This window comes from Homo sapiens, chromosome 1, assembly GCF_000001405.40.
Source record: "Homo sapiens chromosome 1, GRCh38.p14 Primary Assembly".
NCBI classification, from domain to species: Eukaryota; Metazoa; Chordata; class Mammalia; order Primates; family Hominidae; genus Homo; species Homo sapiens.
The window spans coordinates 166,904,478-166,929,376 of NC_000001.11; the positions used below are offsets into that span (position 1 = coordinate 166,904,478).

A 24,899-nucleotide genomic window follows, 5' to 3' on the forward strand; every position below is an offset into this window, starting at 1 on the left:
GCTTCTACAATCTCCATAGTTGTTTACAAAGCAAGAACTGAGTGTCATGGGGAATAATGAACAAGGATTCAGGAGATCTGGATGCTAGCTCCAATTCCACTGCTGTTTGTTGCTATTTTCTAAGTCACCTTGAGAAGTCATTCCCCTCTTTGTGGTCTTGACTATTGGATCTGTAAAACAGAGAAAATCATGCCTGTTTTGCTTTACTCAGAGGCTCAGATAACAATGTACATAAATACACTGTGGAACAATTAAAAATTCTGTTGGAGTAGAGGGTAGTATTCCAGGACAGCCAGGGCCAGATCACAGGAGTCAGAGAGAGTCTGTGCAACATGGGGAGATTGTGGGGGCCCAGACGCCGTTCTCTGGAGCACATCTTCCAAAACCCCACTTCACTGTACACAGTAGGGCATCTTGTATTTTCCTCCCCTGGTTTTCATGCCAAGCATGGAGACACCTCCTCAAAAAAACTGCAAAAGAAAAAATCCCTTTGTGCTAGGTAACAAGATAAAGGTCTTACTCAGAAAGGAGACTTTTAAATATTGTTATAACCAGTTTAACCTATGGCCCTATATTGCACATTCTAAAGTCTCTCAAAAATCCCAAAGGGGATTGTATTCATAATAAAAGTTTAAAAACTTTAAAAGCTTCTTTTTATCTCTCTCTCAAAATCTCGTATAAATACTGGTTATACTCAAAATCTATTTTTTTTCCTCTCCAAACTCTGCTAGCCCATTCTGGCCATGATCTCTTTCATCCTCTTCTCTCCCACGGTCAGCTGGCTCCATGTAAATCAATTGAGCCAAGCCAGGTTCCACTGGATTCTTTCCTTGTGAACCCATTAAATCATTTAATACCACAAAATTGCAGAAGCTGAGCCAGCTGTTCAGCATTTGGTATGCACTGAAGGAGAAAGAGTTTGAGGAGTGCTCATAACATTTAAATTTTCTGCCTATCACACTGATTTGTTACCTTTTAGACTAAATGAAACTGAGGCTAAGATATGGTGGAGAGGGAGCAGACCCAGGGTCTACCAGAGATTAAGTAGCTTTCTCTAGTAGTTCAGTGGTTTACCCTTCCCTCTACCTCGACAGGATGTTTTCCAGGCCCCTCTGAGATGTCCAACCCTGATGTCTCTAACTTATACACATAGCTTATACTTTTTTATGGTTCTCTAGAGCCTGGGAATAGTAATTGTATGTGCTGATAAAAACACATACAAACAGCTTTTGGACTGGTTGCCTCCTTCATGTCCCAGCCACAGCATCATTTAGAACCTCTATAGCTACAAATAAATCATCAGTTGGAGTGAGCAGCCAAGGTTGGAAACTGATAGAGGGCCTCTGGTGTTTCTAATTCCAAAATCTGTGGCCATACTCTATCTCAGAATCTCTTTTGCCCACGGCTTATAAGTGAAAACAATCCTCATCGCTTGCCTTCCTCACTCCTCCAGGTTTTTATGTGAAAGGAATCAGTTTTTTGGCAAGTCCCTTTGAAAAGTTTTCCAACCTCTGTTCTAGGGTATGACTAAGCTGAAAGTCTTAAAGTGACTGAGATCATTTGTACTGGCTGAGATGTGACCTGGATGTAAAAGTGTTTGCGCTTATTCAACCTGCATGGGAGTGACTGCTCCGCAGCCTTCCTGAGGTCAGAGCTCTCAGGATATCATAAAATGATCTCATTTTGGTTTAGTTAAGCTCACACTACAAGACCTACTGCATGCCACATACCACAGTGGTATGAAGGATACCAAGAAAAAGAATACTTTCAAAGAACTTGCATTCCAGTGGGCAACCAGACACAAAAATAGATCATTTTGTGTTTATGCATTGAACATGGTGACAGGGCGAACACTGCAGAGGAAGCATGGACCTGGGGCTCTTAGCTCAGCCTGGTGGGAGTGGGGCTTCCTAAAAGATGCAACATCCAAGCTGAATCTTAAAATGTATGTAAGAAAGTGCTCAGAGAGGGGAAGGAAGGTATTCTGGAATAAAGGAACAGAGGTATAGAACAACACAGTGTAGTCAAGCTCTACAAATGTTTCTGCATATTACAGCATAGCAAAGACGTAGAAAAGAAGTAGAGGTAGAGACTGGCAATGAAGCTGTGATGGCAGAAAAGGGTGGGATCACAAAGAGCTTTGTGTGTTCTAAGGCACTTGACAATATGTGAAAAAGACTATGGAGAGCCAGAAGGGTTTTAAGCAGAAAGTGGCAAAGTCAGACTTCAGTCTTGCCAGGTATCTTAATTTCAACTGAACCACTTGTTATTTGAGTTTTCTGCTTAGGAAACATTTGGAGGTCTGGAATTTCATGACTGAGAGTCCTTATCAAGATATGACGTGGCTGTATGTGAGAGTTCAGATGTACCCTCAGGCTCACCCTCACGAATAAACTGTGTGATGCTCTAGGGTTTCGCCTGGACCTAGGGGGCCCAGCCACCCATCAGTTCAGGGCCTCCATGGCATGCAGCCCAGTGCCCCATTGCCCCTGTCCTCTGTGCAGGTCAGCACTGCCCACTGCCAGACTGCCCTCTACCAAAAACCAGGGTTAAGTAGCTCCCTTTCACCACTTACAATTCTTACAGCGCAAGTCTTTAGGTCAATTTTTTCTTTCTGATACTGTGAGGATAATTTGGCAGCATTATCAAAGCTGCTGGTCTCCTTAAGTCAAGAATTTAAATCATTCCATTTAGTTCTGAACTTCCTTGAGAGAGAGAAAAAAAAATGTGTTGATGAGTTCCTTGGAATGAGAAATATATTTGCTGTGATGAACAGCTGTTTGCCAGTTCTTCAAGACGTTTCTCTCTGAAGCAATGAAAATATACACAATAGCCCTCAAGTGTCTGGAGAAGAGGTTTCCTTTTGAAAATTCCCCATGGCCTACTGTGACTGACTTGAGTATGGATCACTGTGAAAATCCACCTTCATGTGAGAGAGTTATTTACGTCTCAGGAATCGCCATGGAACAATGAGCACTCTCCAAGTTCTCTTCATGGAGCGTGCTGTAGGCCTGTTCATTTCTTTTGAGGGAACATCTCTTAATAAATGGAGTCTCCCCACTCCACAATCTGTTGCTCTAAATTTGCTAAAACATTTTCAATATTTTGTCTGAATTCCTGTATCAAATTCTGGAATCGAAAGAAAGTTTAGTATCATGGGTAATCAATAATCAGAGGAATGTGAGATATCGGTTGCTTGGAAGCAATTAAGTTTTTTTTAAGAAAATATATTTTAAAAGTTATATAATGTAATGTAAAAATTATACATATTTTGAGTGACATAGCCCTATTCTTCCATGACCAATGCTGTACATACATAAAGGCTACAAATTAAATGGGAGCTCACCAAAGAACAACCAACTCCCAAAATGCAGGGTTTCTGATAACCATGTTAGAGAAGGCCGCTTTGGTCTGAAGCTGAGATGCAAAGAAAGGACTCTGCCCAAGTCACATGTTCTCCTTCACATGAGAGAAGGAAGCACAGACGTGCTGGCCATCCCTGAGAACAGGAAGTGAAAGGTGTAGGACCAGAAAAGAGAATGTGGGGTGCGTAAACACTTACTTTACACTGGGAAATGTGGCATGATGAACTTCAGACACTCAAGGAATCCAAGTAGTTCTCCTTTCCTGTTTATACAGAAAGGAATGAAGAGGTGGATAGGTGTCTTAGTCACTTCAGGCTGCTGTAACAAAAATACCATAGACTAGGTGGCTTAAATATCAGAAATTTATTTCTCACAGTTCTAGAATCTGGGAAGTCCAAGCTCAGTGCACCAATACATTCAGTTCCTGGCGAAGGTCCTTTTCCTGGTTTGCAGACAGATACCTTGCTGTATCCTCACATGGCAGAGAAAGAGAGGAAGTAATCTCTCTCCTGTCTCTTCTTATAAGGACACTAATTCCATCATAAGAGCTCCACCCTACTGACCTAATCACCTCCCAAAGGCCTCATGCCCAAATACCATCACATTAGGATTAGGATTTTGACATAAAAATTTGGGGAAGACACAAAACACTCAGTCCATAGCAACAGAGAAGCAAAATGTCCCCTGTTCTATGGAACTTAGAGAGGAAGGGAGAAGCACCTTGCCCAGCATTAAGTATTTTTCTTGAAACTGTCTGGAACCTCTAACAAAAAAAGTAGAAGGTGAATAATTAGGAGACAACAGGAAGTAGGAGACAAGAAATGAGGGTACCAGAAGAATCCAGGGAGGAGACGAAAGGTCCTAATGAAGGCAGTGACACAGAGATGGATTTCTAAATTCAGAACGAGACAAGTATAACCAAGGACATTCACTGGTATATGGAAGGCTCTGGTAGGATTTGTCACTGAACTGTGGTAAAAACAGCCTCCCTGAAGCCTTGGGTTGGAATAATACGTGTGAGGGAATTGGCAACAAAAGGAAGCCGGAAAGGCTGGTTGTTCAGGGCTCTGTGGCTGCAGATAAAGAATCTTTTCGGATGCAGTAGCAGATAGCTGTTGGTGTTGTGTATGTGTTTTGTCTGCCCAGCATCACTATTCTCACTTCTTCTATTAATAACAACTCTCTTCTCTCTTTGGAGAAATCTTCCTATCCCACTATCCAGTCCATCGCAGTCTCACCTTCCTGGTCATAAACAGACTTGCCACATCTCTGGCCACATGATTAGCTCAGATATGGGCACATGACTCAATATGAGTTGACTGCAGTCTTTCTCCAGGATTGTTCTCATGAGTAAAGCCTTTTGCCTGCTTGGTCAAATGAGCTGGAAAGTTGTGACTCTCAGACTGCTAGTGGCTATATTCCTGCCTTTTGGAGTAAGTCTATCCTCACTGAGAAAATGTATTGATGTAAAAACACAAGTAGGTGTGGATGATGGACAGGGAATCTTAAATCTTACTACATTGAGACCCAGGTTTGTTCTCAGTTCCTACAGCTCTTCCAGCCTGTGAGCTACTCCAGGATCTCTCTAATAGATGAGCTCCATTTCTCCTTTTCTTGTTCTTAAGCTAGTCTGAGCTATCTTCCTGTCATTTGCAACCAAAAATTTTTTTACTAATACAGCTGCCAAAGGAATGAAACATAAGAGGCTATCGCCTTGGCCTGAGGGAATGAGAAAAGCTAGGTGCCTAAGTCATACCAGCAACAAAAAGAGGCTGGGAGGGTGGGGTTGTATATTAATGTCCATTATAATTTAACTACATTCAGTTGAACAAAGCGTTTTTCCAAAAACAAGGTTAATAGAAATTGACATATATATGTGTGTGTGTATACATACATATATATATATATATATATATAAATATATATAAATATATATATTTATATATATATATATATATATATATCCTTCTAGCTTTGCTCTACTGGACATTAACGTCTCAGAGAAAGAAAAAGAGCCAGAAAAAATCCACTGTGGCTATGCTTCTACACAAAATTTGTAACAAAATGTGAGAAAATATCTCCAGAGAGCAAGGATTGTTTTAAAAAAAAGTAAAGTGTTTTAACATGTCTGGAATTTTCTCCTCTGCTTGGTTTTTAGAGACAGTGAGAGAGAGAACAAGAGACAGAGAGATTGATTCATCTTTGTACAGCTGAAGACTAGGGAATGGACTATTTAGGTCCTTTGGTTGTACAGTTTGATGACACGGTTTTTGCTTGTTAAAGAGAAACTGGCTTCACCATAATTCTGCAGAATCAGAGTCCTGACCTGACTTCAGAAAACAATTGTAATTCCATGGTGTTAAAAGCACACTTTAAAATAGCTTTAAATCACAAAAGGCATGCACCTAAATCCCACTTGATCCCAAGCAAAAACCTCATGGTTTTCCCCACATTATATCCACAGAAGCCTGCCTCAAAAACATAATATGGCAAGTTCTAAACTTGCAAAGTGTAAGAAAAACATATCACTTTTAAAGAAAAAATTCCTAATGCACTTAATTTGTTTTTCAAAAGCCAAATTCATCTATATAAATTCATATATAGCATTAAAATAAGCTATATAAATTCATATGTAGCTTTTCCCTTAAGTAATGTGAGGCACACCTCCATCCAATACTGGAAGGTTAGCAATAGAGTCACTCTCTTGGATGTGTGCCACTAGATGGCGTGTCAGACCAACTCACTCACCTCTAAGCAACTTCCTAGCTACTTCTACACCTCATGCCATTTTTGGTGAGTCATCTTAGGCCACCTGATAAGTATTCAGGAAATGCTTATAACCAATTCAGCAGAAAATATAATTTTCACCTAAGTGGTGTGATGAGTATGATTAGGATGTCTCTGCCAAGATTTTCTAAGAGAACCTGAAATTAGCCTACTTCTTATTTCTTGAAATGAAAGCATATAAAAATTGGATTAGAATTAGATAATCATAGGGAAAAATGAATTATTTGTTTTGCCTAATTTTAATCCATCCTATGAGTCTAGTCCTTCCTTGCTGCTTCTTTTTTTTCTTGTCTTTTTAAATTTTTACCTTTTTGTGGAGGATGGGATCTCACTATACTGCCCAGGTAGGTCTTGAACTCCTGGCTCAAGCTATCCTCCCACCTTTGTCTCCCTAACTGTTGGGATTTCAGGTGTGAGCCACAGGGCCCGGCCTTCCTTGCCTCTTGAATGAAATCTACATCCATAATTTATTTGGCCACTCTTAACAATTAACAGCCTTCTGTTCACTCTTAAACCCTAAAACAGTCTATGTCTATAATTAAGACAGCCATTCTCTTATATTATCAAACTCTAAAGAATATGTAAAGTTAAAGCCTCTTGCCCTCCCCATCTTAAGATTTTGTTTGCAGTCTACAGGTTGCATTAGAAAGAAATGCACAATGCGTGTATGTGTGCCTTTTTCATTTTTTCCCATTTAGCACACTTACTTCTTCCTTACTCAATCATTCACTCTTCCTGGCTTCCCCAGGGTTGCTGTGTATATATAGAGTCATTATGGAGAAATGTAAGGCAGATAAGGAGCAAGAAAGGTTTTTCTTGACTGGCACAATGTAATATGGCATTGCACCACACATGAGCTTAAAATAAAAAACTATAAAACCCATAAAGAAACAAAAAACTGTGAGTGAAAGTTAGCAGAAGTAACAAACTCTAAAAGTAGACCCACAAAGACTGTAGATATTGGAATTACTGGATATAAAATTTTAAGTTAGTATCTTTAAGATATTCAGATAAATAAGAGGGCATTGTAAAAAAAAAAAAAGAGTAAGTCACAAGACAACAGGGACTATGTAAATTTGAAAAAGAACTAAACTCCTAGAAATGAAATACATATTAATTAAAATTAAAACTCAAATAAAGGAGATTAGAGCTAGCTGAAAAGAAAATTAGTGAGCTGGAAGATAAACCTGAAGAAATTTACCTGAATAGGGAATAGAAAACACAGAGAGAGGAAATACAAAATATAGATTAAACAATATGGGGCATAGAATGAAAAAAAATCTAACAATTGGAATTCTCAAGAGAGAGTTTAAAAAGAAGAGGAAATATTTGATGTGTTAATATAGCTGAGAGTTTTCCATATTTAATGGGAAATCCAATCCACGGATTTAGGAAACACCACAAATCCTAATTTGGATAAATAAAAAGAAATCCACACCTGGTCACATGTTAATTAAACCAAAGAACACTAGAGACAAAAAAATCTTTAGAACAGTCAGAGAGACCAGACAGATTAGGAAGGATAATTAAACTGGTAATTGACTTCTTAAAAGCAAAAATAAAAGTCAGAAGGGAGTGTAATAATAACTTCAATGTCCTGAAAGAAAATAACTATCAATCTAGAATCATAATCAGTGAAATTATCTTTCAAGAACAAGAATGAAATAAAGACTTTTACATCAACAAAGACTGATGAGTATCCTACCAACAAATCATTACTGAAGTAAACTTCCTTCAGAAAGAAAATATTTCAAAAGGAAGATCTGAAATATAGGAAAAAAAGATGTGTAGAAAAAACACGTGGGTGATTCTAAACAAATACTTTATAAATAAAAACAAAAATATTTTATAAAGCTGAAAAACCTAAATGGAATTAAAACACAAAATAATACAAAATCCAGAGGTAATCAAACTGTTTTAGAGTCTATCTTTAAGTTAAATCTACATGTTAACATTTTTAAGTTAACTACTTAAAAAAAATTGAGCCCAGATGCTTCAAGCAAAAACAGATTTTCTGCTTGACAAGGCCACTAAAATCTGGAATTCCCTTGAGAGGGCTTAGCCATCCAAAACAGGATTAATAGTTCTCAGAGGTATTTATCACTTCTTTTGCTAACAAAGGTTTTTAATTGCCTCCTCTTAATTATGGTGCTGTGGAATTTCTCAAATCTTAACAGAACTTGAAATGTCCTCCCACGAATAGCTTCCTTCCTCCCTTCCCCAAGTGTAATTTCTAGCAGGCATATGCTTGTGCCCCTCTTGGAAATGAGCTAGGTACCATCACCTTATCCAACCACCTTTCCTACCCTTCATCTCCTTCTGAATGTTACAGTCTGTGGAGAGCAGTAAGAGTGACAACAGAATTTATCTAGCTTATTACAATCTGTAAAAGCATACCTTTTGCTCTGTCAGTACCAGCCCCCTCTGTAACCCCACAATATGTATTCCTCTATTACTGTACTTACAACAATCAGAGAAGGACATGTATCATATGATTCTTTCTCTTGCTGAGGCCATTTAATGTCAGATCATGATTAACCATAGTTGTGTTAATTATGAGTTCTTGGTAACAAATGTAGGTAAGAATTCTTTATTACGTTTAAAACATTACAACCAAATTCAATTTGTATGTCTGACACAGAAAAAAAAAGTCATGGACAACAGTAATACAAACATTTCAGTTTTGATGTCACAAGGCACAAAGACAACTGACAGGTGGCCCTCACGAAGCCAACTTCTCACCCTTCTCTGTCCCACCCTCCTACTCCCTTGTTCTTTATTCTCACACAGCAAATTTCTTATGCAGTCGTGTCTAATACTTTTGTTAATAAAATGGCTTTTCCTTAAAGCCAAGGTAAAAGAGAAGCTATCTGTGTCTCTTTTAGCCTTCCCAGAAGAAATGAGTCAGACTAGTTACTTCATGGCCAGCCCCACCAAGAAACTCTAAGAAAAATTTAGCTAAACTACTATATCTTTTTCCTTCTCACATTCCTTATTCCTCTATATCTGATCCCTCTTAGTTCTACCTAAAATCTTAAAATGTAGTGAAGATGCCAGATTTTTGCTGTTAAGCAGCTTCTGCCTGGAGTTCTGAATCCAGATGAATCTGTCGTTTCATTCAGAAACTTCTCTGCAAGAAGGATTCTCCAGAAAACCTGAAGCATATATTACCCCTCACAGCACAGGTGATGAAAGTGAGGCTCTCAGCTGGGTTCAGTGGCTCATGTCTGTAATACCAGCACTTTAGGCAGCCAAGGTGGGAGGATCACTTGAGGCCAGGAGTTTGAGACAAGCCTGGGAAATATAGCAAGACCCCATCTCTACAAACAAACAAAATTTGCTGGACGTGGTGGCATATATCTGTAGTCCTACCTACTTGGGAGGCTGAGGGAGGAGGATTGCTTGAGCTAGGAGTTTGAGACTGCAGTGAGCTGATAGCACCACTGCACTGCACTGCACCATGGGCCACAGAGCAAGACCCTGTCTCAAAAAAAAAAAAAAGAAAGAAAAAGAAAACGAAACTCTCCTTGAGTGAAGCTACAACTCCCTCTTAGATTAGCATTTGAGGAATGAATGGTGCTTAGTTGGATGAAGCAGCAACAGTATCTGTCTTCATGGCTTCGCCACATCCATGACATATGAACAAGCATCAAGTCTACGGCTCTTCTCACCAGATGTCTGGCTGTGAAGAGAAACTGGAATCTGGAATACCCAGATTCCAGTCCCATGAGTATTTAAGGAATTGGAAAGGACACCAGACAAGACAGTCAGAAGGCCTGGCTTTATAATTTTAAAAACCATTTGACTACAGACAAGTCACTTAGTATTTTTCAACCTCAGTTTTACATTCTATGTAATGAGACCACAACATCTGCCCTGCCTCTATCACAGCAGTTGATGTTGGGATCAAATGAAAGTGTTCTGTAAACAGTAATATATCATAAAAATAACACAAATATTATTAGTATTAACCTTCTCCCCTTCAAATAGTGCTAAAGCTCAGGCTGCTGCTTAAAGCATCTCAACACTGCCCTTGCACCACTCTGATGTTAAATGCCCCTTCTTCAAGCTTCATAGATCAATTCCCCAGATGACTAGGGGGTAGGATAATGGCAGAAAAAAGCGAGGCACTTTTTCCTTCTAGGACTTTATGTAGCTGGCCCCCTATTTTAGTGAATTTGGATTTCTACATCCTATCAATCAATTTCAGACTTCCATTAAGATGCTGGCAGCATTTAAATCTGATTTTGGAAGGATATAAAATGAGGACTTTTATTATTCTTGTCCACCCAACTTTAGGTAAGACCAAAGTGGGAGTGCTATTGGCCAGTCATCCTTATGATTTGTATGCTTTATAAAATGATTGAGTTTTTCTATTTCCCCAATGGCATCTTTTCCTTCTATTCATGATTTAAGTTTTGCTAAAAATATATCAAGAGAATGAGAAAATTACCTGTAATTCTTGTTGTCTGTTCTGAGACTGTCACAATAGATCACTGTTCTGGGAATGGAAATATCTACAACAGCCTCCCTGGGAGTGCTCCTGACACTCCTTTCTCTCTGCCTGTTTTCCCACTACCACTAGCGTACTCTGGTGAGCCCATCCAGGTCACAGCCAGACTTCTGAGTGACTCACCACAGCCAGCCCCAAAGGATTGAGAGGGACCTCACCAGGACATTTGAAGAAAAAATTCTAAGGCCCAAGGAAGCCTCAGGACTAGCTGTTTGGAGTACCCAGAGGTATGACTTAGTGCAATGATTTCCAAATGCATCTGATCACAGGAGTCTCCTGGAATGCATATTAAAAATATGAATTCTGGCTCTAGACCCACCCAATCAATCTCCAAAACAGGGTCCAACAATACCTTTTTAACAGCAGCTATCAAGTTAATTCTTGTGGTTAGGCAATTTTGGGAAACACTAATCAGCAGAAAAGATCCAGAGGTTGGGAGTCTAAAGACCTAATAGGTTTGTGACTTCATTAATGGCAGTGATGGTTTCTTCACCTATTAAAAAAAATTGGGTGAGGGGCGGTGGTAAATTACAACAGTATCTGTGACTTCAGCTTCTCTCAAAGGCAAGATCTAATCAGACTACCTATGTGAAATTTTGTGGACTATTCAGAAATATTTACAGATGTGGTCAGGTGCCTTGGGTTTGGGTGGCAGCCTTTTCTCATCTCCAGTATGCCTAATCCTATGTCAAGTGCACAGTGAGGATCATGAGAAGGGGGATGTGAGGCCTAGCATCTCCGTGAGGCCTGCCCTGTGTTGGTGAATATGGGCAGCAGCACTCACAGCCGCAGAACTGAGCCCCAGGAGCAGCCACGCTGAGCTCCCCTGTGAACGTGCTTGGATGGAATAGCTGCCATGCACCAGGTCCATGGCCATTGTCTCCAACTTCCTAATGAATCCATGCATGGCCTAGAGAAGCAGCTCATCTACCAGGGGACACCTCCCTGCCACCTGCATCCACACTCCCTCCTCCAGCGTGTTCCTGACTCAGTAGTGACTCACAGGCAAGCACAGCAGCTTATGCATCATCCCCCTGGGACCCCTGCTGCTCACCCTTTCCCGATCCTAATTCACCTCTTTTCAGTTCAGACTTTTGAGTATTGGCTTTTCAGATCACCAAGTCTATGTTTAAATAAGATGATGGACAAACACATACAACACTTTAATATCAAAGTATTCTCATTTTTTAAAAAAACTAAATCTCTGGTTTTATTATAATTTATCCATAGCACTATTTCATACTCTATGTATAAAATCTCCTTTCTTGAGCATGTCTTATTTCCCCTATTAAATTACGGGGTCCTAGTGGACAGAGATTATGTCTTACACAAGATTTACTTTGTACTCCAATAAGACCTAGGAAAGAAGCTAACAAATATAACCATTTCCTGTGCAGGACACACTATTCAAAGGAGAAGAAACAAAAGGACACATAGAGGAAAGTCAGGGGTGCTGAGGACAAGAAGTTTTGACTTGTCAACTCAGCCTTAACTCCTGTCCATATACCCAGAAACAACTGCTTTTTCTCTCTACTGAAAGCCTGGAAGTCTGAATGATTTATCCAGTTCTACAAAGGACAACCTGGTCCCAACTCCCAAGGTTAATTCAGTAGCCTGCTATCTTCTTTGTACTTTTCAGTCTATCTGTAGTTTTGTTGTCTTTGGAATTGCAGGTTTCCAATTTTAATAATTCTTTCTTTCCCATTGCTACCCTCAACCTTCACCAAAATCATACGTCCGTAGCTTTAAAAAAACATTATTTTTGGTCTCTGCAGCTGGTGCTATGAGGCTCTTTGGTGGTGAAAAGCCTGACACAGTGCTCAGTATAAAGCGATAATAGCTACCACAGCTACCCAATATTCTCCAAAATTGCCTGAGCAAGTTGAAATCCAAAGCTGGTGACTAAGAAATGTTTTTTATCATCTTTTCCATCTGAACTGGGGTCCAAACAGACAGGCTAGACCTAGGCTTTCAGAGGCCAGGGACACCAGCAAGTCTAAAACTCAGCACCAGGGTTATGGCTTGTGTCTTCCAGCCCTTGGAAGTGCCAGCACTGGGTTCAACTGTTCTCCTGATTTCTCTGGGACTGGCCAAAGCAACACGGAAGTCCTTTGGTAGGTCAATTCTCCAAGCAATGACACATACCAGCTCATCCCTCCGACCCTCACCCAGCCACTTTCTTATTTCATTGCAAACATAGGACTTTTTTTGGAAATGTCATGAAGTACAAATGGATACTAGAGGAATGGTACTTTGAGAATAGGGTCTAGCCCCAGTAGGGTGGCTCTGGAGAAGACCAAAAGGATGGTAAAGAAGAGATCTTCAGAGGTTGTCCACGGATCCATAGACAGGGAAGAAACCACTGCTGGATTAAGGGATAGCAAAGTCAAGCATTATCCTCCACTCCACAAGAGTGCAGGGTGAAAAGCTTTGATAAAAATTTGTCAACAATAGTGGAGGCTATGAGAAACACAAGTTTGGATGGATTAAGAGGTTCAGGGATGAACATTCAGACAAGAACGAGTCAGGTTTGTTCTTAAAGAGAAATGAACATAAAGAATGCACCAACTTCTCACGCCTCGAGTAGGAATCAGAAATTTGGGCTGGGTTCAGCTAGGCAGTTCTTCTATTGGTATCACCTGGACTCACCCATGTCTGCATCAGCTGGAAGTTGACGGGCTGTCAGATAGGGTGACAAGGGTAACTGGGCCCTTTTCTTTTGTCATGCAGCAGGATAGTCCAGGCTTGTTCACCTGATGGTAGTTGCAAGGTTCCCAAGAGCAGCAAAAGAGGACAAGCCCCATGCACAAGAACTTTTCAAGTCTCTGCTTGTGTCACATTTGTTGGGCTACTGGCTAAATCAAATCACATAGCCAACTCCAGATTCAAGGGGTTGGAAAAAAGATGGCACCTCTTGATGAGAAGGAAAGAGTTCGTGGCCATTTTTGCTATCTACACAAACGATAAAATCCAGAGATCTAGCTTTGGGATTTAGGCAAAATCTATCATTTAGGCAAGGGTGGGAATAGGAAGTACTCCTTCCTGAGAAAGCAGTATCTCTAATCTCTTGAAAGCAGCCATAGTGGCAGTCTAGTCAGGCCAAATGCTGTATGTTCCACATCCCCCATGTCCTAGAATGGCAGAACTGGGATGGCAGAAACAATTAACGGCAAGTGAAGCACAAAACCGGAAAAGACTGAGTGAAGTTTGTGGGTGAAATGGTCCACATTCAAAATATAATGAGATGATGTTATTTCCCTTTTAAATTCCTTCTCATTCTTTTCTATATGCATTACTGCTTTCTCCTCTTTCCTCCCTCTTCTCTTTCATGTGTATATTTTAAGCATTTATCACAAGGCATTCAATGACAATCTAATCAGAGTGCAGAGGGAGGCAGGGCTGTGTGTGTGGCACCAACCTGTGGGAAGTCCAGGAGAGGGGAGGAAGAGAAGAGCCCTTAATGTCTAAGACTCCGATATTGACATGTGCAGCAGAAAAGGAAAAAGCAGTTTACGTTCTCAGAATGGAAAAGGAAATACCACTTAGACAGCTTTTCAAAAAGGTATACTCGCTTTTGCTTTGTCCTAGCCACTTAAGAATTGTCATTCAGAACAGCAGTGAAGTCATTTCTGTGATTGTCCCAGAGGTCACTGTCACTGAGCTCACCAAAGGCCTTTTGATTTTAGTGTAACAACAGTCATTGACTAGTGACTGTAAAGTGATGGGGATAAAAGGTATATTTTGACTTGAAGCTATCTTCCCTTGTCAGAAGAAGGCCTTCTAATAGTAGTAATAAATTCTTCTGTCTCTAAGTATAGCACAGGAGGTATAGAAAAGCATATTGTAGGCATAGGCAATTTCTGGAGTTTAGCAGTCCAGAGCTAACTCTCTTTCAGAATTGCAAATGGAGTCCTGGTTCTGTTAAGGGAGGAGGCTGGGCAGGATAAACGCTATAGTTGAGAAACTCTGTATGTAGGAATGTTCTCACACATTCTTGCTTTCTTGGTAAGCTTCTCAAACTAGTTAGATGGGCACAGAGGTTTGAAATCAGCCTCCCTTAAAGGCTGCCTGCCATCCCTTGCCAAAGCAGAGATCAGCAAATCTTCCAAGGTGATGGCCAGAGAAGGTCCTGGGCCTGCTGGTTCTTAGATTTGTGTCTTGTCCCCGTAGTCCATGTCTGATTTCTCATTATCCAGAGAAATGTTGACAACATCAGACCACAAGGGACATCCTGGTTGGAAAGTCATTCTAGGAAAGAGCAGAAAGAGCCCAACATTAAGCCACATGCTAGTTAAAGAAAACAACGAATAACAGATGGTTCTCTGGGCAGAGTCCACAACCCGTTCAGTGCCAGGCACCCCTGATTCTCAGAACCTTTCATTAGACCTGTGATGGTTGATCCTAAGCCTCAGTAGAGGCTAAAGCCAGCATACATCTGATAGGCTTAGTTCCATGGTCACAGAATAACTTCTCACCCCCTTTAGGATAACTACTATGTTTAGAGCTCCACAACAGCAAGTGTGGTTGGTATTCCATAAACCTGAAATCGCCTGAAAGTTTCTTCCCTACTCATAGTACTTTGGTTATTGCATTTTTTTATTTAAGGAAAAATAAAATACACTGAATTCCTTTGGAAGGGTTAATAATTGTGTCAAAATCTTTTTCTGTTCATATTCCTTCTCCCCATACTAAACACTAAAGAAAACGTCCAGCTTGGATTCATAAAAAACGGAATGGTGGGGAGGCAGGGTAATTGCGAAGGGGGAGAAGCAGTTGTGCTTGGAGAGTGATCTCCAAAGCATGGGGGTCAGAGGCCCTTGGTACCCCACAGCGGACATTTGTGACTGTCCCCCAACATTTCTCTGAGGTCCAGGGCTCCCATTTTGGGGCTGTGGATGGAGTAGGCAGCTCTTGGCATTTTGAAAATAATGAAGTCTATATAAGACCACTTACAAAAGAGACAATGAACTGGATAGGGACCAAAGGATTTCCTTCACATATACGGGCACAATGCAGTTTACACTCAATAAAACATCAAAAGAGGACAGACATGAGTTGTCCTTTGCAAACAGCAGTGGCTCTTAGCCTTCTCTGGGATGTGGGTTCTTGGAAATCGGATGCAAGTTACAAACCCTCGCCCCAAGCAGGGCTGGGGAGGAATGCACATAGAAGGATGCATCGAAGATTCTGCACACAGACCTCAGAAGCCCACTAAAGGCCGGTGGTGGTGATGGCTCCCGAGATCCCTGATGCTAAAGGCTTCTGAGTTGGTTAAATACCTAATGCTCCCTGTAAAACCATATACACGCCTTCAACTTTCTGCCTGTTTTTCAACTCTCCCAGCCCTTGCTTCCTTCCTTCATCTGGCCTTGGACAGAGTGAGGCTGAAAAAGCCCCCGGCCTAGCATCCGCGGACGAACTCGCCCAGGCAGGCCCCTGCGGCCTCTCCGGCAAGGACCCTCCCGCCTCGCCACCTCCCCGGCCCCCAGACAGCGACACTGCTCGCCCTGCCTGGAGGCTCCCGCTCAGTCCCCTCGGAGGAGGGGAGGCAGACGCAGTCTCACGGTTTTCTTGGCGGGCTCCTTTTTCCTCTTCTTCTCCGAGTTGCTGTGGTAGGGCAGGTCGCGGCCGCGGTAGGACGGGCCGCGGGTCAGCTCCAGCTCGCTGTAGGGCGGCAGCGCGTCGTCGGACGCGTCCTCCTGGTCGTCCTGCGACGAGCCGGCCTTGTAGGTGCCGGGCGGCGACCAAGCGTAGTAGGAGGCGCTGCGCGGGCCGAGCTGCGCGCTCCGCTTGGATGGCGTCTCCAGGCTGCCACCGCGGCTGGCGCCCTCGGGCCGCGCCTGGCGCTCCCGCGCGCTGCCCAGGTACGAGTGGTCGTATTTGGGTGCGGTGCCTGGCGTGCGGCTCACCAGCCGCGGCAGGTGCGCGTCCTCGGCGGGTCTGCGGCGCGCGGGGCTGAAGGCCCAGCCGCGGTCAGCATCGGTCAGGGGCTCGCGGCTGCGGCTGCGCTGACCGTAGTACTCCTCCAAGGAGTCGTCCTGGTAGAAGCCGCTGTGCGCCCGCGACTCCGAGCGCTCGAAGCGGCTCCCGCCCCGCGCCTCGTGACTGTTGCCGTCTGCCCGGCGGGGCCGCTGGCCGTAGGAGTCAGCGAAGGCCGCCAGCTCGTCCATGGAAACGGCCGGCACCCCCGTGGCGAAGTTCTTCCGCGACAGCATCTCCGACTTGGAGCGCGGCTGGCTGCGGGCAGAGAAGGAGGGGGTCAGACGGCCGGTCCCTCCCTGGAGCTCCAGGTAGGGCTCCCAAGAGCACCCATCGTGTCCTGGGGCCACGCTCAGGAGACCTCGGCCTGAGCCTCAGCTCCGCTCCAGGCTGGATGAAGCATTCCAGGCTCCTCTCACACCCCAGAACGTCAAGTAGGGGCAACCGAGTCTATTCCACTCGTGTGCCACGCATCAAAATGGGGTTGTGTGGATAGAACATATTCTGTATCCTATGGAATACTGACCCACCGTGGGGCTGCCTTCTGGTCATTATGTTGTGACCTCGGGTTGACAGCCACACGTCTCCACCCTCAAAGCCAGCGCAGGTGTCAGTACACACAGTTATGGTCCCAGGAGTCCCTGTAATGTGTGGTGACACACAGAGAGGCCTTTTCTTCCCTCAGAGCCAAGGGCCAAGTTACCTACTGGGGCAGGAGGGGAGAAGGACACTTGCAATTTGTAAGGGAAAGGCAATGTTCACTGTCTTTTAAGGTAAAGGACAGATGAGTGGTGAAGGTGCTATTTAGGGGGAATAGCAAATCTTAGCCTCCCACAATTGTTGTGGGAGGCCACATCACCTGGGTAAGTGCCTTAGCACCTAGAAGTTTCCATTTTCCCAGCTTAAAATAGGGGCATTAATAGTAGCTGCCCTTTAGAGTTATGAGAATTAAATGTAAGAGAAGTGTTTGGCATTTTACCTTTCATATACTAAATGATCAAAAATGAGGGAGATGGCCAGGCATGATGGCTCATGCCTGTAATCCCAGCACTTTGGGAGGCCAAGGTGGGTGGATCGCTTGAGCTCAGGAGTTCAAGACCAGTCTGTCAACGTGGCAAAACCCTGTCTCTACCGAAAAAAACAAAAAAAAGATGGAGATGATGGGTGGGATTTTGTAGAGGTTATAGGATAAAATATATGAGAAGGGCAGAGATATATTAATGTTCATTAAAGGGTCTAGGGGACCCATTTCAAAGGTCTTGAATAATTACTTCTACACATGTTGTCACAAGTGTTCCCTGTCTTGACAAATGTGAGATGTTCAATATCCTGTAGAAAGAGAGATGTGTCAGGATAACCTGGAATGGGAGACAGAGATGCTACTGGATGGCATCTTCCTTGCCTCCGATCTACCCTGCCTTCCAGCTCCTGCCCCCTCACACCGACCAGACCTGCCCCTCACAGCCATCACCTGTGCCTGAAGCTCTCTCGATCCTCTTTGTTATACTCCATGGCTGAGGGCCCGCGGCTTGCCCCACTGCTGCCTCCCATGACACCTGACCAATAGTCAGGATTGCTCTCCAAGTCCCCAGACACAGGGAACTGCTTGCTTCTCATCTGATGGAAAGACTGGCGGAAATTGCTGTCCTCCTCATGTAGGGAGCTGAGTTCTGAGATGGTGTTGTTATCTGCAGGGACAAAATCAGGCATGATAGAGCTTTTTGTGTTACTCTGTTTTAGACAGGAAGAGAATCCTGTTAAGGGCTGAGACCCTAGGCTCCAGGAAACTCCTGCCTCATTGCTGTCCAGGGTGGGTTGTAAGCCTGAACTAGTGGTGTTTGTATTCTTAGCTCAGCAGGCATTGGCTCCAGTTTGAAGCCTACTTGCTTACAGAGAGGGAGGTTCCTACATGCTCTGTTCTTGGAATAGGAGAACAAGTTTGTTATTGTTGCACCTAAGGCAGGCTTTCCAGAACTCAGGATCTCTGTTGCTGGCCTCCTCCTAGTACATCATCATCCTTGTTCAAATGTTTTCTTCTTCCTTTATAATTCTGTGATGAGCTGTGTTGATCCTAGACATGTTAAGCCAAAAACAGAAAAAGAGAGACAGAAGCCATAGATCACAGCATCTTCCTTACTGCTGGCCCAGTCCTAAGATGGACCTTCAGAGCCAGTACTGCCATATGCTGTAGAGGCACTGCATTCTGGCCTCCTTTGGCTGTGCCCCTCCCCACAGAGCAGGAAGTCCACAGAATAGTTGAATAGTCAAGGGGAAACCTGTACCTAGTATCCATATACCCCCTGACTTAGCCCATGCTCATTTAGGAACCTGGAAGATCCTGCTCAAGTAGCACCAAGCCTACTTCCAGCACTTGGGCAGACCTCTTCCCCTCTCCCAAAAAAGTTTTCCAGGGGTATGTGTCCATGAGTGGCTAGGCCAGCATTTTGGAAGTATGGAAAGAAGAGGAGGGTGTGCTGTACTTATACCTGTGGGCCTCTACTTATACTCTGGCCCCAGCCCAAAAATACAAATGGGGGTATCTAGTCACAGCTTTCTAATTTCCTAAAGTGGCCTAAGTAGCTTTTTGCAAAAGCACTTGTGAACAAGGACCAGAATCACAGTCTGGAAAGGAAAAAATAAACAAAAACTCAACTATTTATTTATAAAACTTTGAAATGTATTGAATTTCATTGTACTTAAAAAATAAATCTACTGAATCTATTTGCAATGTAACTGAATCCATTGGTTTTCTAAAGTCCTTTAATTAGAACTTCAAAATATTATCAAAAACAACATTTACCAAATTTCAGGCCTAGCTGTTGAGTGAGAGGTGGGCCAAGATAAGATGTGGAAATATGTGTCTCAGATTCCCTCTACTTTCCCCCCTTGCTATCCCCAAGAGTCCTTGGAGGAACGGGATTTTTGCACAAAGATGAGGGAGGGTCTCCCAACACAGCCTCCTAGTTCTGTTTCACCAGGGGCAGAGCGTTTACCACGAATGCCATTCAATTTTATCATGCAATCAGTTGATTTTTAATTATAATTTAATTTTTAACCTTTTCTTCCATCTAAGAAGAAGGGACTATGCCTATTTTAAGGAAAATAACTCAGATACTATTGATTAATAAAATCTAGAACTTTTCCTTTCTCATGATCCCCATGAATTCCAGTATCCCAGGGATCACACAGAAGAGGCCTTTAAAATGCACCAAATGACCCTACTGAAAAATAGCATTGTTGGCTCAGAACTTTCCTTAAACTTCAGGGAATACTTGATTTTTTTTATTTATCTAGATAATGAGGACGATCTATGTTTCACTATTCACAGTGATGGATTGTCTAAGTTGTATATTGTGCTAAAATTTCTGCCAAGTTGAACATAAACATCGACCTGCCCCCATCTCACAGACATCCACAATGTAACTCTAGGATAGGGGTAAGCAAACTTCGTTTTGTAAAGGGCCAGAGAGTAAATATTTTAGGTTTTCCAAGCCATACTGGCACAAATATTCAATTCTGCCACTGTAGCATGAAAGCAGTCATAGATGCAACATAAGTGAATTGGCATGGCTATATTCCAATAAACCTTTATTTATAAAAATAGGAAGTGGGGCTGGGCACGGTAGCTCATGCCCATAATCCCAGCACTTTGTGAGACCAATGAGGGAGGATTGCTTGAGCCCAGGAGTTTGAGACCAGCCTGGGAAACATAGCAAGATCTTCATCTTTATAAAAAATTAAAAAATTAGTTGTGCATGGTGGCACATGCCTGTGGTCCCAGCTACTGGGGAGGCTGAGGTGGAAGGATCCCTTGAGCCCAGGAAGTCGAGGCTGCAGTGAGCTGTGTTTGCGCCACTGCACTCCAGCCTGGGTGACAGAGCAAGACCTTGTCTCAAAAAAAAAGGAAGTGAAATATATTTGGCCCAGGAGATATAGTTTGCTGAGCCCTATACTAGAACTTCCCAGACTAAAAACATCCCCTAAACAACCCCCACCATTTAGAAGGGCAAAGCAAATGAGGACCATACTGGCTAGCAAATTCATGAGCCTGGACCTCAAACTCAATTCTTACAGAATCTGTTACTCTCCTGCCCCAACCTGAAACCATGAGATCCATTTTATAATGAGATTTCAAGATTGCCCAGTTCCATGATCCAGCCCATGGTTTACTATGTTCTTCAGGAACAGGACTTCTCAAAGTAAACAGTATTCCTACTTTATCTCTATGCAGTTGTTATAATATTAACTTGCAGGTTCCAGGAGATCAGGGTTCCAGTTCTGGCACTGGCACTGAGTACTGGTGCTTGTTACTTTCCCTTTCTACCTTAGTGAAGGGGACGGATTCAACAACCTCAGAGTCCCTTCCAGCTCTGACATTCTAAAGTCCTACTAGCTAGAAGGCTGTGGTCTCTGAACAGAATGGAGCCATGGAGCCATCCACATTACAGCCATGGAGCCATCCACAGTTTGCCCAAGAGTTTCTTCTGGAAAGACCACAGGACTGGGAATCAGAAGAGCTGGAATCTGGTCCTAATTGTGTCACCGCATCCCTAGGCTTCTGTTTCCTCACCTGCACACTACAAAGGTTAACCTAGGCCATCTCTAAGACCCCCTTTGACTCTAAGAGTCCATTACCTTATGACCATTAAGCCCCTAGAGACCATTTTAATGAAGTAGAGAGACAGGAGACATCACCTAAACCAGAATTCTTCCTTTAGTTTTAACCTTAGCTGTTAACTTTTTCTCTGAGCTGTGAGATTCGCAAATTTCCTGCACAGACTCCTCTGTGGTCCCTGACTCACTCTGTCTCTGGCCCCTTACAGGGATCCATGACAACATTGTTACAACTAGCTTGTCAAGTGCAGTGACATCTGCATTCCTGACATTCCAATCTGGAAATGGTCTTTTTATAGTCGGTGTGGTGGGAGGATACAGCAATGGATACAACGCAGACAGGATGAATTTAGAATTGCAAACTGGGTGGAATATGTTGTCCTTAATCTGAATAAAGCTCTTCTAGTCTGGGACTGTTTCCCCAACAATTCCGTCAAGTCTCTCGTTAGTTCCAAGAAGAGGAGGGTAAAGAGACAGCATAATGACCTCACTTCCACACCCGCCAGCACCCTCTGATAATGAGCCTGTCCATGTGGGACCTGCCCTATGTTACCTCCCATGATACATAAGTTGGAATCCACCCCAAGAATCAGCTGTGTCAGCTGCAGAGTATCCAAGGGCTGGGGGTGAGTTAAGGGTTGGGGCCCGGCCACCTCAGACTTAGTATTCAAAAAGTTCTTTTGACAAGAGGATCAGCCTCTTTGCTTGCCCCTTAATCTCTGTTGTTTGGCATCTTCGAGGAGCAACAACCTTTTTTCCAGATTCACGTGCCAGACTTGTTCTTTCACTTTCAGGAGGCCTCCATGCAGCGAGTTGGTGGTTGTATTATCCAAGGCTAGCACCCTTCACGTTGGAAAAAACTGATACTTAAGCTTCCACATCTTAAGACATTACTTTGAATATATTTTAAAGGGAGTAGAAGGGAAAGACTATTTGGAATGCTTTATTAAAATAGTCTTTCCCTTCTACTCCTTTTAAAATATATTCAAAGAAAGTTGGTTCTTTATTCAAAGAAAGTTTGAATAAAATATATTCAAAGAATGTTGGTTCTATCCATGGGGCATGGATAACACAGCCCCAGAAATACTGACTGCCCCATGGAGAAAACCAACATAAACCAAGATGCTACCGAATTGCTCTACTCTTCACACCAGAAGACCTTTTTTTCCCCTCTGTGTACTGAGAGCTACTTTCTTCAGTAGTGTCACCAGCACCCCTGCTAATTCTAAGCCTGCAAGCTCAGGGCTGCCCAAGTTTGGTGACCCCCAAATCCCCTTTACACACTAACTCCTGCATAATGCACAGATCACAGAAAACTAACAGATGCTCACATCTGCCTCTCATCCTTCTGGCTGGATCAAACTGAGCCAGCTCCTTCTCAACATAGTACAGGACCTTCATGGAGTCTCTCTCTTTGTCAGCCTGGATCCGGTAACCTTTGCGAACTGTTGAGAAAAGCACAAGAAGGTGAGCTGAAAAAGGAAAATATCAGGAGAAGGAGGCCTCCATTTATTTTACCAAGTAGAAAATAGGGTTTCCAATTATAACAACTCTTTTTGAAATCACCCAGAAATAACGATCTATATTTATACATATGGGACCATATCTGTGATCCCCTTTATCAGATGGCGCCACTGGAATGGAGGACCTAAAGGTCAACAACAAAATTCCATTACAGTCTATTTTTAGTCATTTGTTAACTTCTGCTTCCTATCTTTTGACCTCTTACAGCTCCACTTAGTGCTCATCTTCTCAGCGCTTTTGCGTTCCATTGGAGGAGCATATTCACACTAAAAAAAGACCACTTTCTAGATTGAGGACATGCGTCACTCTAGCATCTGAGGATCCCACCTTCACTTTGTGAGAGCACAGGTAACTTACAGATACTCAAACATCAAGGGCCTTGACAAAGTTGGCCTGAAAGCTTTGAGTTGCCTAGGAGATAATGCAAAAGTTCCTTAAACTGAGTTGTGTATAAGAGCTAATATTAATTTCTAGACCATATACATAGTAGTACAAAACAAAATTCAAACTATGTGGATTTTTAATTATGGTTCCATTTCATTTCTTTAGCATTTTCCTTTTAGGAGAAGGAATACTGTGTTTTAGACATGATTAATTTGACCTGCTGCGATGTGGTTACAAGCAGCTGTTATTTTCAGGGCTTAATAAAAAACAAAACTAAAGCAGGAGAGAGAACATCTCCTACATCTCTATCACTCATATTGTCAGAGACAAAGGCTGTTTAAGCCCCATATCACTTAAGTATCAGTCTAGCCCAATACCAGCCCCAAGAGTGATAGATACCAGTGGGCCTAATTTACAGATAAGAGAAAGAGGAAAAAACGAAAGAGAGAAGGGAATGATGGGATGGGTACTGAAAAATAATGGTAATTAGTCAGTACTTACTGGGCACTGAAAATGTGCTAGGTACTGTGCTAAATGCTTTACATGGACATTTGTTCCTCAGAACCACCTAAAACAGTACTGTTATCAGCCACATTTTATGTTTGAGAAAATTTTGGGTCAGAGGGGTTTCATAACTTGCCCAGGAAAAATTTAGCAGTGCCAGGGCTGGAACCATGTAGTCTGATGGAAGCTTAACCATATTTGGGCATCTTGCCTCTCTAGAGTCTAAGAAGAGAGGTAGTGAGAAGAGACAGGTGAGAAAAACAAGGAAGGAAAGCCCAGAGTAAGAACTGCTTTAGCTATGCCATGGGTTGTATGGTCTGCACAGCATGGTCCTATATTCCAGCTATTAAGGACTTTTCAATGGGATGTAAGCTAGTGACCTAACTCCAGCATTCCCTGTTCCCAAAGTGGGGCAAACACCATAAAGAAACCATATGACTGCATGTAAATTCAGAGAAAACCCTGCTGTATAGTGTCTGGCCATGTTACCCTGGCTGCGGACAAAACCCTCCCACGCAAGCTATTTACATGGAAGATTAAAATATAAAATTCCATAGCACTCTAATTGTAGTCCAAGCACTAAAAACAGAAGTCACCCACACACCCATTTGCAGGTGCACCGATTTTCTATATGAGAATATACTGGGCAGTCCACATTCATCTCAAATTGTGGAATTACTTAGAAAAAAAATTAATGAATCTCAGCACACACTTTTTAGTGGCACTTTCTCCCAGAGGTTAGATCCATAATCCTTGTGTGGAAGCAATGATTAGCAGAAATAATTTTATTTATCAAGCTAAACATTCTTCCATCTCTACAAAGGCATTTACTGAGTCGTACAGACAGTTCAATTAAAATGCAATTATCCCACAGAACTGCTATGTCTGTTCTGGAGGCAGTTATGTCTGATGGATGAGACTCCAGCCTGGGAAGTGGGGAACTGGGCATTGTGTAGGCATGCAGTGCTATTTATTGAGGGACCTCAAAGAAATGGTGACCTATGTAGGACTCAGTTTTCATGTCTATAAAATGCAATGAATACTTGCCAACCTTTAAATAATCTCTTAAAGATGAGAGGACAACTAAGACCAAATCAGTGGAGCACTTTGAGTTCTCTATCATTATCAGGAGCTGCTCAAATGCTGCCTCAGCCAAAGGGCTTTCTTTGATTCTCATAGCTTGAAAAGTTCTGTCTCTCTCTCTAACTTACAAATCATTCAGTTTGAAT

At 42.6% G+C, this 24,899-nt stretch overlaps 1 protein-coding gene and 1 long non-coding RNA gene across 17 annotated transcripts in view, besides 1 other annotated feature; one reads left to right on the top strand and one right to left on the bottom strand.

Annotated features, from left to right (window-relative positions):
- Window positions 1-24,899, bottom strand: part of ILDR2 (immunoglobulin like domain containing receptor 2) — a 79,845-nt gene that overhangs the window by 8,782 nt on the left and 46,164 nt on the right. For 10 of the 15 annotated variants that reach the window (NM_001438641.1, NM_001438643.1, NM_001410891.1 and 7 more), the window contains 4 exons: window positions 22,590-22,703; window positions 18,116-18,332; window positions 16,230-16,902; window positions 3,710-14,913 (listed from right to left, as the gene is read on the bottom strand). In NM_001438641.1, the coding sequence (NP_001425570.1) occupies window positions 14,878-14,913; window positions 16,230-16,902; window positions 18,116-18,332; window positions 22,590-22,703 (1,040 nt within the window). In that variant the 3' untranslated portion in view covers window positions 3,710-14,877. Of the gene's footprint in view, window positions 1-3,562; window positions 3,628-3,709; window positions 16,903-17,753; window positions 17,974-18,115; window positions 18,333-18,623; window positions 18,716-22,589; window positions 22,704-24,899 lie in introns of those variants that run through there. The other 5 variants (NR_199384.1, NR_199383.1, NM_001438642.1 and 2 more) reach the window with 5 other exon arrangements.
- Window positions 20,728-20,887: an enhancer, noted in NCBI's record as "active region_2028". NCBI's record gives its function as "activates an Ori minimal core promoter by ATAC-STARR-seq in GM12878 lymphoblastoid cells {active_cell/tissue: GM12878}" and the evidence as "EXISTENCE:reporter gene assay evidence [ECO:0000049][PMID:35858748]".
- LOC124904449 (uncharacterized) overlaps window positions 22,694-24,899 on the top strand; it is a 45,878-nt gene continuing 43,672 nt past the window's right edge. For both annotated transcript variants that reach the window (XR_007066714.1, XR_007066713.1), the window contains exon 1: window positions 22,694-23,130. This is a non-coding gene — a long non-coding RNA (uncharacterized LOC124904449). The remainder of the gene's footprint in view (window positions 23,131-24,899) is intronic.